General features: G+C 42.8%; 1 protein-coding gene across 5 annotated transcripts in view; it reads left to right on the plus strand.

The window, feature by feature from the left end:
- Window positions 1-17,599, plus strand: part of THSD4 (thrombospondin type 1 domain containing 4) — a 686,490-nt gene that overhangs the window by 142,644 nt on the left and 526,247 nt on the right. For 3 of the 5 annotated variants that reach the window (NM_001394532.1, NM_024817.3, XM_047433080.1), the window contains exons 5-6: window positions 3,112-3,559; window positions 17,076-17,178. In NM_001394532.1, the coding sequence (NP_001381461.1) occupies window positions 3,112-3,559; window positions 17,076-17,178 (551 nt within the window). Of the gene's footprint in view, window positions 1-3,111; window positions 3,560-6,402; window positions 6,508-17,075; window positions 17,179-17,599 lie in introns of those variants that run through there. The other 2 variants (XM_017022582.3, XM_017022585.2) reach the window with 2 other exon arrangements.

Raw genomic sequence — 17,599 nt, forward strand, 5'->3', positions numbered from 1 at the left:
ACTGTGCCTTTTCCATTTCTTTCTCAAGACATAACTTTCAGAAATTAGCCAGTGCTTTGACAAGTGGAGCACCTAAAGTAAAATCCCAGAGATGGGTTCTGGGGAGACTAAGCCGAACTACTCAACAGCTCCCCTGGGCGCCTACCACATGATTCTCCTGAAGGAGTTTACTGGCCACACAGATCGCCTCGCCACATCTGTACTTATCATAGCTCTGCATAAATCTCCCCAGTTCCGTGGAGGCCCCCCTGCAAGCGGCCAGATGGACTCTGTCCTGTTGGAGAAGAGGCCATTCAGACCCGTCAGGATTATTAGCTCTGACCAGCTGTAAGGAAAACAAACGTTCTCCTGGCCAAGCCAGAATGAATCTGCCACTTGTCCAAATGTTCTGAGTCAAATACCTAGAAATCAGATCTCTCATAAACACACCCAATTTGGTAGCTCATGCTCTTTGGTCTTTTAGAATTAACTGGTCATTTGCATTCATTTCGTCACCTTTCCAATGCTGTTGCTCTGTCATTGGGTTTTGAATGGTTCTCCAATTTAGGCAGAGCTTCCCACAAGGCAATATGAATACAAAAATATACATTGGTGCTTGTATATTTTACCCCCTCAGGCCTTTGGGAAGATGTTTACACAAGTCATCAGCCAACAGCAGGTTCTTCTTCTGCTCCCCAAGAGGAAGCTCAAGTCAGTTTTGGTTCATCAGTGCTGAGTGAGCTCCAGCAGGGCAGCCTGTCCCGGGCCAGCAGATCTTTTGTATCTGCCTCAAACTCAGAGGTTTTTGGTTTGAATTTCATTGCCATTTTTCCTTCATTAAAAATGGTAATTTGCAGTGTTGAATTTTCACCCTTTTGTTTGGAATTTCTATTTTATTCTATGACTGATTATCAAAGCTGTGGGTCTGTGGACCAGCAGCATTGGCATCTCCCAGGAGCTTGTTGGAAATGCAGACTCTCAGGCTGCACCCTAGATGTCCTAGATCCAGAATTTGCAACTTAACAAGATCCCAGGTGATGCCTGTGAACACTCAAGTTTGAGAAGTGCTATTCCACATGTCCATTTCTCTGTTACCTTCAGCTAGGGTCTCCATTCAGTACTTACTTTGAGGCTAAAATTTTTTGGTAGACTTTCAGATCTTAAAAAAACACACATACGCAGAAATTCTTTCCTTTGCCTTTGCATGATGTCATTCATTTTACCTGGCCTGCCACAAGAAAGAAAAAGGCAAATTATATCCAAGTTTTATATATATGTGTATACACACACACACACACACACACACACACACACACACACACATATATACATATATATGACTAACTTCTTAATTGCATCTCTTAAAACCCCCATCGTTAACAGAGTCCCAAGTGTTGCCAAGATTAATTGAGAAAGACCTAAATGCAAAATAAACACTGTGGCGTGGTTTAATTCCATATCAGCTAAGAATGAAGGTGCAATTAGTAATAAAGATGTTAATAATTAGTTGTGGTCTATTAAATTTTATGTTCAGTAATTATGTGGAGAGTGAAGAAAGAATTTTCTCATGAGGGCAGAAATCAATGTTTCACCTTGATTGCTATTTTAATGTGCTTATTTTAATGGGGCCATCCTGTAGAAACCCTTGGGCACATTTCCAATTTTACGTAAATGTAGAATTAATTATTATGGAAGCATATAATTTTAGAGTTGGAGCGACCTTGGCGGTCATTTAATCCAGCTCAGTCATCTTAAAAGTAAGTAAGAGTTAGTTGACTTACTTAAGTCCTTCCACAGAGATTTGGAACCTGCGCTCCTCAACTCTAATGCCAGTGAAGGCGAAACCTTTTCTGATCCCTTCAGACAGAAGTGCTTTTTCTTGCCTCAGAATTTCCCAAAGCAACATTTATTGTATGGCCTCTAAGGCCCTTACCCCGCCCTGCATTGTGATCTAGTTGCTTTCAGTTGTAAGGTTGGGGTCTTGAAAACTATGGATGATTAATTTTTGTATTTCTTCATCATTGCTAACTCTGTGTTTTGCAAAGAGTAGTTGCACAATAAATATTCATGCAGTGGTGTTCTGGAGCTGGTTTTTACCTGCTCACCAGAGCTCACTGTGTCTTCACATTGGTAGCTTGATATCAGCCATGATGGAAGTATTTACACCATAGGAGTGGGCAAATGCTACAAATCAGGGCTTCTACCCTGTCCTGCCCACGTCCCCCGCCCCACCCCACCTCAGGGCAGTGGGTCTTTACAAAAATCTAAAGATCTAAACCAGGCTTGTCCAACCCATGGCCCATGGGCGTCATGTGGCCCAGGATGGCTTTGAATGCAGCCCAACACAAATTCGTAAACTTTCTTAAAACATTATGAGATTTTTTTTTGCAATATATTTTTTTAGCTCATCAACTGTCATTAGTGTTACTGTATTTTATGTGTGACCCAAGACAATTCTTCTAAACCAATGTGAAGATGGCCATTTACCCATTGCTTTGCCTGGGCTACTTCAAGAGTGGTGAAGGAGCCAAGTATTTAACGCCCTTGAATATTTTCAGGATTAAAGTCAGTGCAAGTGAGGCCTTGGGACTGCACTAGAATTTGGTTGCTTATCTAAGTTCCATTACGTAGAAAAGCTCTTTGAGTATGAATAGTGAAGGAAACAGGGTCTGAAATATCACAGTTAGTTGAAGGAGCAAAAAATACATGATTAGAAAAAAAAAGTGAACAGGAAAGTTTCCTGTGGCTGAAATTGCAATCATATGTTTGTACTTCTCTGAAAACCTTCAGTGGCTCCCAGTGACCTACAAAAATGCCCAGACTCTTTGCATAAAAATTACACGCTGACCATAGTTTACTGTTCTAATCTCATTTCCAACCACTTGCATCATCCACTGTTCATCCTCTGTTGATTCCCTCTTTCATTCTACTTTCCAACTTCTGTGGAGCCTCTGTTCCAGCCTCCATGATGGTGCCTTCTAAAATGCGTTCCCCCTGCTTCCCAGTTCTACCATAGACCCTTTCCCAAGCTTCCGTTCCTACCTGGTCCTCTCTACCACGGACCAGAGCTTCTGAGTTAACATGAAATTCATCCGACTCTGATCATCTCCTCTCTTGTCTATCTCTCTTTAGGAGCAGGACCCGTGGTACCATTGGCCCTGGCAAGTATGGCTATGGTAAGGCCCCATATATCTTACCACTGCAGACAGACACTGCACACACGCCACAGAGGCTCCGGAGACAGAAGCTCTCATCCCGCCATTCCAGGTCCCAGGGAGCATCTTCTGCTAGGCATGGCTACAGTTCACCAGCCCACCAGGTCCCCCAACATGGGCCTTTGTACCAAAGTGACAGTGGCCCTCGCTCTGGACTGCAGGCTGCGGAGGCCCCCATCTACCAGCTACCTTTGACCCATGATCAAGGCTACCCTGCAGCTTCAAGTCTCTTTCACAGCCCAGAAACAAGCAACAACCACGGTGTGGGGACCCATGGGGCAACTCAGAGCTTCTCTCAGCCTGCCCGATCTACAGCAATCTCATGCATCGGGGCCTATCGGCAGTACAAGCTGTGCAACACCAACGTGAGTACACACAACCCATACCGGGCCTGGAAACAGCTGCCCCTCGTTTTTCTGTCATTTGGCACTAAGCATGATGAAGACAGCAAGGATATGGTGTCTGGGCCATGTTAACACACCTTTTAATCTTCCTCCTTTCTCTTTGCTTTCCATGTATTCTCCCTACATAGTTTTCTTTTTTTTTTTTTAAAGTTATTGCTTTAGTAACTTATACATTGCTTCTTGAATTGCTTATTGACAATCGCTTAATGGTGGTATTAATTATTAACAGCTATTGCTGCAAAACAACCTCCAAATTCTCAGTGACTTATATTAACAATATTTATTCTTTGCTCAAGTGCAATATATAAGTTTCCCAGAGGTTCTCTGCTATTCCAGGTGTAAACACTAGGTATTGTAGCATGAAGAAGTCTGAGAGTGAAGTTGTGAAGAGTCTTCTCTTAGGGGAAGAGCTGGGACAGCTAAGGTGATAGATGGCACACAGAGGCCTCTGGGCAGCAGTAAGTTCCTAACTGGTGTGGAAGTATGTTGTTATTTTAAGGACCTGTATAGCTGTACTCATGCATATATATACAGGTATACCCACTTTGGATATCAGTTCAATAAATATTTATTGATTTTATCTTCATGCATTTACATAATATCTACCATTATTAAAAACTCATAAGCCAGGCCTTGTGCTCAGCACTTTTTTTTTTTTTTTTTTTTTGAGATGGAGTCTCGCTCTGTCACCCAGGCTGGAGCACAGTGGCGCGATCTTGTCTCACTGCAACCTCTGCCTCCCAGGTTCAAGCAATTTTCCTGCCTCAGCCTCCCGAGTAGCTGGGACTACAGGTGCGCACCACTATACCCAGCTAATTTTTCTGTTTTTTTAGTAGAGACGGGGTTTCACTATGTTGGCCAGGATGGTTTCGATCTCTTGACCTTGTGATCTGCCTGCCTCTGCCTCCCAAAGTGCTGGGATTACAAGTGTGAGCCACCGCACCTGGCCTGTGCTCAGCACTTTTTCTACTAACTCCATTTCATCTCCTTAACCATGAGTTTGCTCTTCTCTTCATTTTATAGTTGCAAAGAGAGGTAAAATAACTTGCTGAAGATGCCACAGCTAGTGAGTAGTAGAACCAACTATCAATGTTAATTGTATATGGTGACCAAAGGAATTTTTTAAAATATCAGTTTAAAGACTGCGTATTAAAGAGAAGTGAATGAGAGGATGTTAAGAGGTTAAATTTCTGAGCCAGTATATTTTTCATTAATAATTTAATCTGCCTTAATACTCTGTTGCTGGGTAACAGGACAGCTGTTCTATATTAGCTTCAATTTCCTCATTAAAAATATATTTCCTGCTATAGAGTCCATAGAAATGACTTAATTTGTGATCTTAATAATTTCATTGAATGCCTGGGTTGCTTTTTAGCTTATTCTTCCACTGTCAGACTTCAGGAATCATTAATTTTAAAAAGCAGTAATTTTTCTAAGGCCATTGCTGATCAGTCAACCAGTAAGTCTTCATTGAGCATCATTGCTTGTCTTGTAACAGAGTAGGTGTCACGGAGAATAACAGAAAAGTCGTGGTATCTACCTCCTAGCATTGCTTTGAGGATCAAATGAGGGATGGTAGGAAAGTGCTTTGTAAATCAAAAAGTAAAGAATTGTTTGGTTTCATGGTCAGACATGCCCTTGTTCCTGAATATCTGTTGCTGTTCTTTTAAAACGAAATGAATTCATTTGTAATATACAACATATTCTCCCATTGAGTAGTGTATCTCTTAATTTTGAAGACCAAGCAAACCATAGAGAGAAAGTAAAAGAGAGGGCATTTGGCATCCGTGTGGAGCTGATGCCCGCTTAGCATTCCTTGCATTTAACTTACATTTGTAAAGCCCGCCCCTTTTGCCAGACCTGTGCTGCCAACGGCAGGGTTGTTCTCCCCATGTAGAAGCTGTGGCTTCCCTGAGTGCTGGGGTAATGGCACCACTGAGGAGACTGTATTGCAAGGAATCCCAGGAAATTCTCGTGAGGTCATGGTGTCTTCTGGCATTTTGGATGAAGGCAAAATAAAGCCTCCAACCCAAGCCAAAGAAGTACATGTTGACACGGGATTGTATAGGTGTAGTTCCCTTCTCTTCCCTGTGACATGTGCACAGTGTCCTCCCCAGTGCACCCCACTGTTCCAAGTCCACATCCTGCTTACCCTTATTGAGAGATGTCATTCCTTAGAGGTTCCATTATTGCATGTATTTTTTTCATAAGCCCATGTCTTCTTGTGACTTGGGCCACACCCCCATGATCTCTTTAAAATTCCCTCTTTCAGAGGTCCCCAAGACCATTCCTGGGTTTGATGATTTCCTAGGAGGACTCATAAGACTTAGCATATAGTCACACTCACAGTTACGACTTATTACAGCCAAAGGATTGAATAAACAAAGCAAAATCACTAAAGGAAAGGCTCATAGGCCGAAGAGCATAGGAAACCAGGCATAAGCTCTCCAGAATCACAGTGGAGCCACATAGGACTTGCTTAATTCCTCTGCAATGACTTGTTATAACATGTAAAAGTTCTATACCAGAGAAGTCTCCCCTGTGCCCGGGGTTTTTACTGAGGGCTGGTCACATAGGCACCCTCTGCCTGCCACATATCAAAATTCCAGACTCCTAAAAAGAAATCAGGTGTTTAGCATAAGCTATTTTAGGCACGGTGAGCCACTCCTATCATTTAGGGAGTGGTGAGAACTGCCCTGAAATCCAAGTTCCCAGATGCCAGCCATGGACCAGCCTTGCAAACAGGCCTTTCTAAGGGGAGCAGTCTCAGTTCAGCTATGTTGCTTTTTTTATATACTCCCCAGATGGACCCATATGCCCCAGCATCTCAGCATCAATGACCTCATGTAGACATTTATCTGTCCTCCCCAGTGTCCAGCATCAAGAGAGGACATGAATGACCCAATTATGTAAGTATTCCTACTGAAAGAGGAAAAGGTATACAGATGCCGAGCTTTGACACGGAGGAACTGAGTTTCCTTGGGCAAGTCACTTAACACCCTGAGGACCATCTGTAAAGTGGGCTAATGATCCCTACCGTGTAGGGTTGATGTCAGGTTCAGACAAGATGGAGTATAGAAGAGCTGGCATGGCAGTGACACATGGAAGGCATGGTGCTGACACATTGTTGGGAAATAAACGTGACTGGCATACCCCCCTTTAGATAGGAATGGAGTAAGATCTCCCCTATCTGAACATCTTCCAGGTTCTCAGTGGTAACTGAAGAAATACGTGGATGAAATGATCAGACTTGCTCAGAGTCATCCTCAGTCCCACGTTAGCTGCGATTGAGGCTCCTTTACCTTTACGCAGTGACAAAACGAGATTGCCAAGAGACCCAACAATTCAGCTGTGATTTAGTTTCAGTGTGATCACCCTTGGGTCATGGTGACTTTAAAGTGATAAGAGTTAAATTATAGATAACCAGCTTAATAACAGTGAATTCTTTATGTCTTCCGATGTGCATGTTTAATATTAAGACCTATCTTATGGTGTGATCTAGGAATTTTAAGCATTCCAGCATGTCTCTGAGATTGTTCAATTCATGTAAGATTTCTGAATGTAGACTTTAAAGATAAGGAAGTATTATTATTTTGTTGCCTACAATGTGTACGAGGAAGTTCAGGTGACACATCCTAGTACAGATAGAGAATCTATGGTCTTTTCAAGCACCAATCTCAAACATCTGCTGGTGCAACACTCTCCTTCAGACTGTATGTGATGGACGCAAGACTCAATCTGGTCCAAAGTCTTTTTTTTTTTTTTTTTTTTTGAGATAGAGTCTTGCTCTGTTGCCCAGGCTGGAGTGCAGTGGCACGATCTCAGGTCACTACAACCTCCACCTCCCCAGTTCAAGGGTTCAAGCCATTCTCCCACCTCACCCTCCCAAGTAGCTGGGATTACAGGTGCACAACACCATACCTGGCTAATTTTTGTATTTTTAGTAGAGATGGGGTTTTACCATGTTGGCCAAGCTGGTCTCCAACTCCTGGCCTCAGGTGATCTGCCCACCTCTGCCTCCCAAAGTGCTGTGATAACAGGCATGAGCCACTGCACCCGGCCTTGGTTTTTTTGTTTGTTTATTTTTGTTGTTTTTTTGTTTTTTGAGACAGAGTCTCGCTCTGTTGCCCAGGCTGGAGTGCAGTGGCGCAGTCTTTTAAACATTCTCAAGAGAAGGCTTTTGCTTGAAGTCCATAAGCATAACATTGACGTTGATTGCGTGGGGTGAGGTGTTAGGCTGTGGTTGGAGACACTGAGATGCGAGCAGGCTCTTGCCTTATGCAGCTTGAGTCCAGTAAGAGGGATAGACTCATAAAAAGGCATTAACAGTGCAGATCATATGTGCCACCGCACACGCCACATAGGTCCTTTCAAATCACCACACAGTGGAAATTAACCTGGCTTGGGTGGAGTTTGAGTGCAGATTATCCAGGCGAGGGAGGATGTTTTAGGAAGAGCAAGTGACAGGGGTCCTAGAGGCCCTTTGCAGTCCTGTAAGGGCTGAGGAGCAAGAAGGAGGCACTCAAGGAGCTCTTGGTGGAATCAGATGTGTTTTCAGTGAGTGAAGGCTTCACCTGCAAGTTTGTCTTCAGCAGTGAAGGGGCAACACAGGGCGGAAGTCATGATTAATCCGCAGCCCTGCACTTTCTTGATGAGGGCTAAAAGTAATAGGAACTCAAGGAATAGAGTAAACAGTTAAGTTTCTTATTCATGGAAGCTCATTGAAGCCCAAGGCTTGATAGCTAGAGTTTTTGTAGGGATTGCAACAGAGGAAGGAGAAATCAAACCTCAATTCCTCTGGTGCCTGAGGAGATGCAGTTGAAAAAGAACAACAACCCTTTTCTGGCCAGACTCAGTTGGGCTTGATTGGCTCATGCCTGTAATCCCAGCACTGTGAGAGGCCCTGGTGGGAGGATTGCTTGAGGCCAGAGGCCAGGAGTTCAAGACCAGCCTGGGGAACATAGTGAGACCTTGTCTCTACAAAAAATTTAAGAAACAGCTGAGGTTGGTGGTATGTGCCTCTGGTCCCAGTTACCCAGGAGGCTTGAGGCAGGAGGATTGTTTGAGCCCAGGAGTTGGAGGATGCATTGAACTATGATCACACCACTGCACTCCAGCTTGGGGGGCAGAGTAATACTTTGTCTCTAAAACAACAACAACAACAAAAAATCCTTTCTGCCTTTGTCTTGGGGACTTAGGTGTCTCTCTTCCCACTTTCTCTTAGGGACTCCGAATTCAACACTTTCTTTTAGGTGCTCTGAATGCAACACTTTCTCCCTGGAGAGGAGACTGATTGATACTCTGACCTCTTCTGGAGGAGGGAGGCTGCAGTGCAAGGCAGGGACAAAATTATGAGTTTTTAAGGGTCTTTGCTGCCAAAGGAGGCGTGATCCTGAGTTTAGACAGAGTGCACTTAACATTATGAGGGAGAAATTCCTGGGGCTAAAAGCAGCTTTTAGCAAACATGGACATGATGAGTACTGGTATCAATGACTCTCCAGTGAATTTCCCTGGGGTAGGACTGGCTTTTGACAATGGATTTATCCATATGGAGTTGTTTCTGCCCCAGAGTAAGTGCAAATAAGGGGAAGATGTTGGCCGAATCTCAAATCTAGATTGGCGTGCTCTCTGCAGGCAGATTCTAATTCTACTCCATCTCTAGTCTGATATTGAATGAAAGAGGAGCTAATAACTTCCTGACTGCAATTTTAAGCAAAAACTTAGTAAATGGGCCAGGTAAGAATCGAGTACAGTTCTGTAAGGTGTAAAGCTTGCCAGGAACCATGAGGCCAGTTACTGAATGGACAGAATGGGGGTTTCAACACTAGTTTCTCTTATCATGAGCTTATCATCAGCCTCCTTATCTAGGAAATATGTGCGAGTATCAGTGTTTTTGCAGCATTTGTCTTTCTGTCTTCTCAGACCACTTGGAATTTCCACAGAAAATTCTCTTACTGACCTTTTCATACATATATATATACACACACACACGTATGTATATACACTTATATGTGAATCACACACATATGTATATATATGTATACATGTATACACACCACACACACATATATATGTATACATAACATGTGTGTGCATATATATACACACAAATATATACACACGAGAATTGTTAACAGTTGTCATTTTTCATGATTATAGAAAGTTGTTCTCTTATTGACTTCATATATGTATATATACACACACTTTTATATACACAAGAATTGTTAACAGTTGTCATTTTTCATGATTATAGAAAGTTGTTCTCTTATTGACTTCATATATATATATATATACACACACATTTATATACACAAGAATTGTTAACAGTTGTCATTTTTCATGATTATAGAAAGTTGTTCTCTTATTGACTTCATATATATATACACACACACATTTATATACACAAGAATTGTTAACAGTTGTCATTTTTCATGATTATAGAAAGTTGTTCTCTTATTGACTTCATATATATATACACACACACACATTTATATACACAAGAATTGTTAACAGTTGTCATTTTTCATGGTTATAAAAAGTACAAACAAAGAGTAAGAAATATCAGAACAGCAAAGACATGTATATCCTTGTCTGTCTCTCAAGATGTAATCACAGCCAGTGATTTTTAACTTGTAGTTCTTACGTTCATTCTCTCTATAACTCTAAATGGCACATTAATACCCCTGCTTCTTGATATATCAACTTAAATTTTCTCCATCAACTCCTTATTCTGGAAGATGAAGAATTGACCCCCTTTCCTTCCACTCCTGCTGATCTACACTAGCCACATTTTTATTTTCACTTATATTTTTGGCTATATGTAGTAAATTAACAATTTTTATTTTCTTGATTTTTCAACATTAGGAAAAATCAGTTAACTCCTTCCTTTGCAAGGTTAGAAATGTTGTGTCCAAACAACTCACTACATTCCTTTCCATGCATTATACATTTTTGTTTATGCATTTTTCTCGTGTTGGGCTATAAGTCCCTGAGGGAGGCTATTATGGCAAATTTTTCTTTGTATCCTCATTACTGTCAACACCTCACACATGGAGCGCTGCAATGAATATTTGCCTTTGAATGGAATTTTGCACCCTGCCTCAGCAGATAGCAGAGGGGAAGGAAGCCAGTCTTATTAATGTGGTACCGGAAATAGCCACTAAGAAATGTGTGCTCCTTGGGAGATTAAGGTGGTTTGGTTTTCGTTTTTGTTTTTGCTTGAGTCAGGGTCTCACTGTGTTGTCCAGGTTGGAGTGCAGCGGCATGATCATAGCTCACTACAACCTCAAACTCCTGGACTCAAACAATCCTTCTGCCTCAGCCTACAGGCATGCACTACCATGCTCAGCTTATTTTTATTTTTTGTAGAGATGGGTTCTTGCTATGTTGCCCACGGTGGTCTTGAACTTCTGCACTCAAACATGCTCCCAATTTAGCCTCCCAAAGTGCTGGGATCACAGGCATGGGTCCACCACACCAGACTAAATTTTTTAACAAGTTTACATTTTGCCATGTGCTTCCTGATTAGTTAGGGAAAAAAGAATTCTTTTTTAGATCTTCTTACAGACATAGAGATATGTAAATAATATAAATAGGCAGTCATAAGTAAGCACTCTTGAAATAGGCCTAGATTTGAAGGGATCTCGAATATTTAAAAATCTATGATTGGCCTGGGTGAAAGGCTGGGCTTAGTGTCATATTAACATCCTTTGGGGCTTTGATGTAGGTATTGAATGAGAGGGAAACACCTCTCCCTAGGAGAACATTATGAACTTCCTTGGATGAAAAAAATAAAAAAAGCATTTGAGAATTACAAAAATCTCAGATAAAACAAAACAAAACAAAACAACAACAATGAAAAACATCCAAAGCCTTTCCCCAACTCTTTGGACAAACTAGTTAATTCACTGACTGGAGAATTTCTGGAAGTGGTGGGAGGTGGCAAAGGTTTTTGTGAGGTTGAGTTTGTTCTGTGTAATTTGAGAAAGGAGATATTAAACATATTTGAAAAATGTGCAAGATAACTGGAGCGAAATTTTGGCCCATGGTTTTATTTCTCTATAGCTAGAAAACAAGCCCATTTTCCAGCTGTAGATGAGAAAGGAAGGAAGGGCATGTTTGCTTAGAACACATACTTTTCAAGCAATTACGGCTTCTGGAACTACTGGATTCTCCACAGTGGACATTTGGTGTCTCCACTTCAGCAAACATTTATTCAGCATTACAGAGAGCTGGAAACATTAATGTATTACCACTTAAAAATCCCCATAAAAACCCCTGGGGATTGGGGCCTGGAAGGTGGTACAGGGCTTGTTATTCAATTGTGGTAGTTTAGACTTGGAGAAGCAAAATGTTTTTCCCAAGGTCACACAGCCACTTTCTCATGGCAGTGCAGGGACATTTTCTAGATTTCTTTTTTTAAAAGGTTTCATGACTGTGGTGACATTAAATACATCATATGTTGCTATGGTAGCTGGTCTTTTGATTGAATCCATAGCAGTGAAAAGGATAAAAAAATTACATATCTGACGCAGGCAGCCTTCAAGGTCATGTTCCTTGGCACCGCTACATTGGAGATGATGCTGTCCGTCTCCTGGGGAGATGACAGTAATTAATTACCATCAGTGTGATCACTGATGGTGGCTCTTGAGCAGTGAAGTTGGGTACAGGCAGTTGTCATTTCAGATTAACCAGGGTCACTAGAAATGTGGCTGGAGTTTCCATAATACTATTTGTGACTCATAGCAACCCCAGGCAATTGTCTAGATAGAACTTTGGATAGGGCTCATATTGCTTTATAAGGATTCAGCTAATCATATTAAAGTACGTCTTTATTTCTCTTCCATTAAAAGTCCAGTGGAAACATCCCTCCCTCTTTTGGGTGGGAGTCATTTGAAGGGAGGTTATCTCCCAGAGGCATTACTTGGCTCTAAATCTCCAGACTTTGTTGGTCTCATCCTGAATGAGCCTGATCTCTATCTACATGGCTTTTCCCCTGTCTCAGTTTTCTGGCCTTAAGATTACAAGAATCTCTGCCCATGAAAAGGATCAGCTATCTGCAAGAAACCTGCCCCCAGGGCCAGTTCACAGTGTAATGTACAGACAATTACTGATAAGGTGAAGGTGACTCAGTCCATGACATCAGGAAACAACCAATTTAAAACCTAAGAAAGGGGTAAAAGGATCTGTAACCTGGAAGTTTTCACTTCAGAGAGTCTGTTAAAATGAGAGATCACATCCCGATAATAGTATGAGAAGTACAAACAGATGTAATCTATAAAAGAGACATGAAACAGGATTTCCCAGGCCCTGCTTGGTTTTCATCCTCACTCCGCAGCTCCCTGCTCCTTGTGGTGGAGGCCAGCCACTTCGCCAGGCCTCGGGGGCTGATTCCGGCTTTGGCCTCTAGCCCTATCCTGACAAGACACAGTTATGGCTCTCTTGTCTGGGGACCCATCACAAATTAACTTTGTTGTCTACACAGTCACGAAGGGCACCATGGCATAGTGGTTACTATGATGGATTCTAGATGCAAAGTGTCAGGGTTCAAATCTTGATTTCACCACTTATGAGCCCTATGACCTTATGCAGCTCATTTAACTTTTTGTTGCCTTGGGTTCCTCATCTGTACAATGGGTATAATAGTTATTGTGAGGATTAAATGAGCTGAATATATGTAAATCACATAGTGGAATGTCTAACATTTAATAAATGCTCAATAAAAGTTAGGTATCATCATCATCATCATCATCATCATCATCAGTCCAGGCTTCTGCCTTCCTTGCCTGTACCACAATGCTGCCTCAATAACCCACTTCCACGTCCGGGCCCAAGAAGCCTTGCATTTCTCTGGCCACATCCCTCTGCCCTCCAGGCTTGCAGTTTGCCTGGCGTCATGTGAGTCCTTGCTGGAGTCATACACAGGGCCATGCCCATCCACCAGGACACCTTGTTACCTTGTTACCTCCTGCTGGGCTTAGCTGACTCCTGGCAACTGCAGGTGGATCTGCTGATCACTGTGGCTCTAATGCCATGTTAAGCTTTTCTGCCTTAGATGGGAACTGGACTACGCTTAGATGTAAATGACTTATTGGTGACCAAGGGACAGGGTATCCTAAATGACCCACAATAAGTTGGGTGGCAGATGTGTATGGATGTAAGAGCACCAGGCATTAGTGGAGTATTAAGCCGTACCCTAAGATTATAAACTGCAAAGATGTGCAAAGTTGGCTAAGGGCTGGTGTATTTGGCAGGGCTCTATACTTATACATTGTCACTTTTTTTTTTTTGGAGACAGAGTCTTCCTTTGTCGCCCAGGCTAGAGTGCAGAGGCGTGATCTCAGCTCATTGCAACCTCTGCCTCACAGGTTCAAGTGATTCTCCTGCCTCAGCCTCCCGAGTAGCTGAAATCACAGGTGCATGCCACCATGCCCGGCTAATTTTTTGTATTTTTAATAGAGACAGGGTTACACTATATTGGCAGGCTGGTCTCGAAATCCAGACCTCAAGTGATCCGTCTGCCTCGGCCTCCCAAAGTGCTAGGATTATAGCCGTGAGCCACTGCATCTGGCCAATTGTCACTTTTATTACATAAATATTACATGTTTATTGCAGAAAAAATTAAATAACACAAATAGACTAAAGATTAATTATAAATTAAAAACATCTATAACATCACCTTCCAGAGATAACACTTTTAACCTCTCTCTGTGTATGTATACACACACTCCACACACATAATCTTTTTAACACTTAGTGGATTGTGGACTCCTTTCCAAGTCGTGAAACAGACATTTATGTTGTCAAGTACTGAGCAATTCTAGATGATTCTGAATGTGCATTGGTTTGTGGTCTAGCCTATTAGCCATTTTACTCATTGAGAGAAAGGGGTTAAGCAGACTGTTAAGTCTTTGTAGTCTACAGCTTCCAGTTCTGGTAACTGCCACCAGGTTAATGAAGGGTGGCTTCTGGCTGGAGCCTCACTGTGGAGCAGCTTGGCTTTACTTAGTTGTAGTTATTTGAGGAACAGGACCTTCAACCACTTGTGCTGGTCTGTTTCTGCTACGAAGACCTGCGGCCCGGCAGCCGATCTCTAGTTCTGATTATGGACAGGGTGGGCCTTCAGCGCTCTGGGCTCTGCTTCTGTGTCACTGTGGAGCCTTTGGCAAGGCTTGCCACATCTCCAGGTCTCAGTTCCCTCATCTGTAAATGAAAGGGGTTGGATTTGATTCTCTTTTGCTCTAGCACTCTGTGATTCCACGTTAAGTCATTTGGAGTGGAGTGAGATGGGGCTTGGGCGTGGCCCTTCATCGCTGCTGCACAGGTTAGGATGCACAGGCCACACCAGAATCACCCAAGGAGCACTTCAAGCATATATTCCTGGGCTCTCATCCCCACTCTTCTGCCAGAGTGAGGCTTGAGAATCTGCATTTTTAACAAACTCCTTAAGGTTTCTTTCTCGAAGCCGTACTTGGGGACTGCTGCAGGGATGGTGGCCTCTCCAAGTCACCCAGCTGTTCACATCCTACTTGAACTCTGGCTCAGGCCAAAGGCATGTGAAAAGCATCTTAGTTAACTCAAAAGCCTTCATGGAGACAGCTGGTGTTGCTGGAAGCTTACATGGGCCCAGCTTTAGGGTTGCCAGCAGGTTGGCTTCCAGAGCCCTAGGAGACAGGCTTCTGTGGCCTGTCCGCCTCTCCCTGATTGTCAGAGCTCAGCCCACCCTGCTTGTTCACCCTGCCTGTTTTTTCCTACCAGTTTCCATCATTTTCTGCTTTAGGGGGCTTCTTGCTCCATATGGTTCGGCTCAGGCCACAGCAGGGTAATGACCACGCTGGGCATTTGTACCAGCAGCCTCCCCAACTGCGACTGTCCTTAATCAAGCAGGAGATGTTTACCCTCACACCTGTTTTCAGTCCTTCTTCTGGTCCCTCATCTTCCGGGAGACCTAATATTTCTGATACATACAGTAGATTTCTCTACAAATCCTTGAAGACTTTGAACTATCCTATTAGCAGTTTATTCCAGAGACTTCTACACAGTACTGTTTAATGTTTCAGGGGCCAGGCTCCTTTTCCTTCTGATTATTCACACACACACACACAAACACACACACACACATACACACTCTCTTAAACAGAGTATAGCTTGGGTTCAACAAAGCTAGATCATACTTTATCCACAATATGAATTAGAGATTCTGATCTTGTTATTTTCTGTCTCATACTTATTTACTTTATGCCACACTTTGCTCATATTTACCATTTATAAATGAGGAAGAGATAAGCCAGAGGGAGCAGTATGTTTTCCTTGAGTAGTCTAGTGCATCAGGATCACCTGGATAAACTTGATAAAATACAGATCTCTGGATCTTATCCCAGATTTACTGAATAATAATCCTTAAGGGAGGGATCCAGAAGTTTGCATTTCCAGAAAGATCTCTGGGTGATTGTTTTGCATGCAGAAGGTCGGAAATTCCTGCTTCATGTGGGACAGAATTTAGACTAGAATTTAGAGAAGATGGGGCGGACAATGAGAGACAGCCTGGTGGGAACCAGGCTGCTTGCATTTAAATCCAGGCCCCACACCTCACTGGCTGTGTGACTCCTCCATGCCTCAGTTTGCTCTCATGAAAAATCTGTAAAACTACAGTGTTTACCTTATTGGTTGTTGTGAAGATTAAATGAGTTCACATGTGGAACATGTTTAAAGTAGTGCCTGGCAAAGGTAAGGGCTCTGAACATGTCTGCCGTGGCTACTATTCCATGCAAGGGGAATGGCATGAACAAAGTCAAACAGAAGCAGATGGCCTCTTTGAGAGAATGGAGTAAACTGATTTGTCAGAAGTAGAAGGTTTAGATCAGTGGTTTTCAAATTATAGTGTGCAAAAAAATAACCTAGGGAGCTTGTTAAAAGTTTCTTGCCCCTATAACGATTCTGAGTTGGTATACATGAAGCCTGGGGATCTGCATTTAAACTTTTTGATGCAGGTTTTGAGCAAATGTTCAGAAACCCAGTAGTTTAGGTAGAAGAGGGCTGGTATTTAAAGTTGGAAAGGGGCCCGGCGCGGTGGCTGACGCCTGTAATCCCAGCACTTTGGGAGGCTGAGGCGGGTGGATCACCTAAGGTCAGGAGTTCAAGACCAGCCTGGCCAACATGGTGAAAGCCCATCGCTACAAAAAATACAAAAATTAGCCAGGTGTGGTGGTGGGTGCCTGTAATCCCAGCTACTTGGGAGGCTGAGGCAGGAGAATCACTTGAACCTGGGAGGTGGAGGTTGCAGTGAGCCGAGATTGGGCCACTGCACTCCAGCCTGGGCGACAAGGGTGAGACTCCATCTCAAAAAAAAAAAAATAAATAAATAAAGAATAAAAATAAAAAATAAATAAAGTTGGAAAGGTATCCAGGGTTTGGAAATGTATCCTGGAGCTATGAAAAGTATGGACACTAATTGCATATTTAATATCTGCTTTATTAGGTATGTCCAGAAAGCAGTAGAAGTATCCGGGAGGTACAGTGTGCATCCTACAACAACAAGCCATTCATGGGCCGGTTTTATGAGTGGGAACCATTTGCAGAAGGTAAGAATAGACCCAGCCCTGTCCATAGAAGTTACTTTAGTCTGTTTTCCATTCTTGTTGACTTCTGATTGATGTTGGAGGTATTGGTGTGATCCTGGCTGGGGTGTCAATAGGGGAGAAAGTGTGACTCCAGGGCAAAGAGAAGCCTGCATGGGTCTTTACCAAAGGTAGCATAGCTCAGGTGACGCCTGGACCATCTTCGGCATGAGTCAGATGGATGAGGCACTGATGGAAACAAGCAACATCCAAGGATGGCAGGGTGAGGGGGACAGAACAGGGTTCAAGGAATCAGTTGGAGAAGAGGTTCAAACATAAAGTTGTGAGCCGTGAGTGCAGATGGAGTTTCCCTTTCCTTGGTTCCTGCTACAAGGGGTAGTATGGGAGCTTAAGAGAACATGTGGGGTTGTACAGTTGTATGGTT

Source organism: Homo sapiens, chromosome 15, assembly GCF_000001405.40.
Source record: "Homo sapiens chromosome 15, GRCh38.p14 Primary Assembly".
Taxonomy (NCBI): Eukaryota; Metazoa; Chordata; class Mammalia; order Primates; family Hominidae; genus Homo; species Homo sapiens.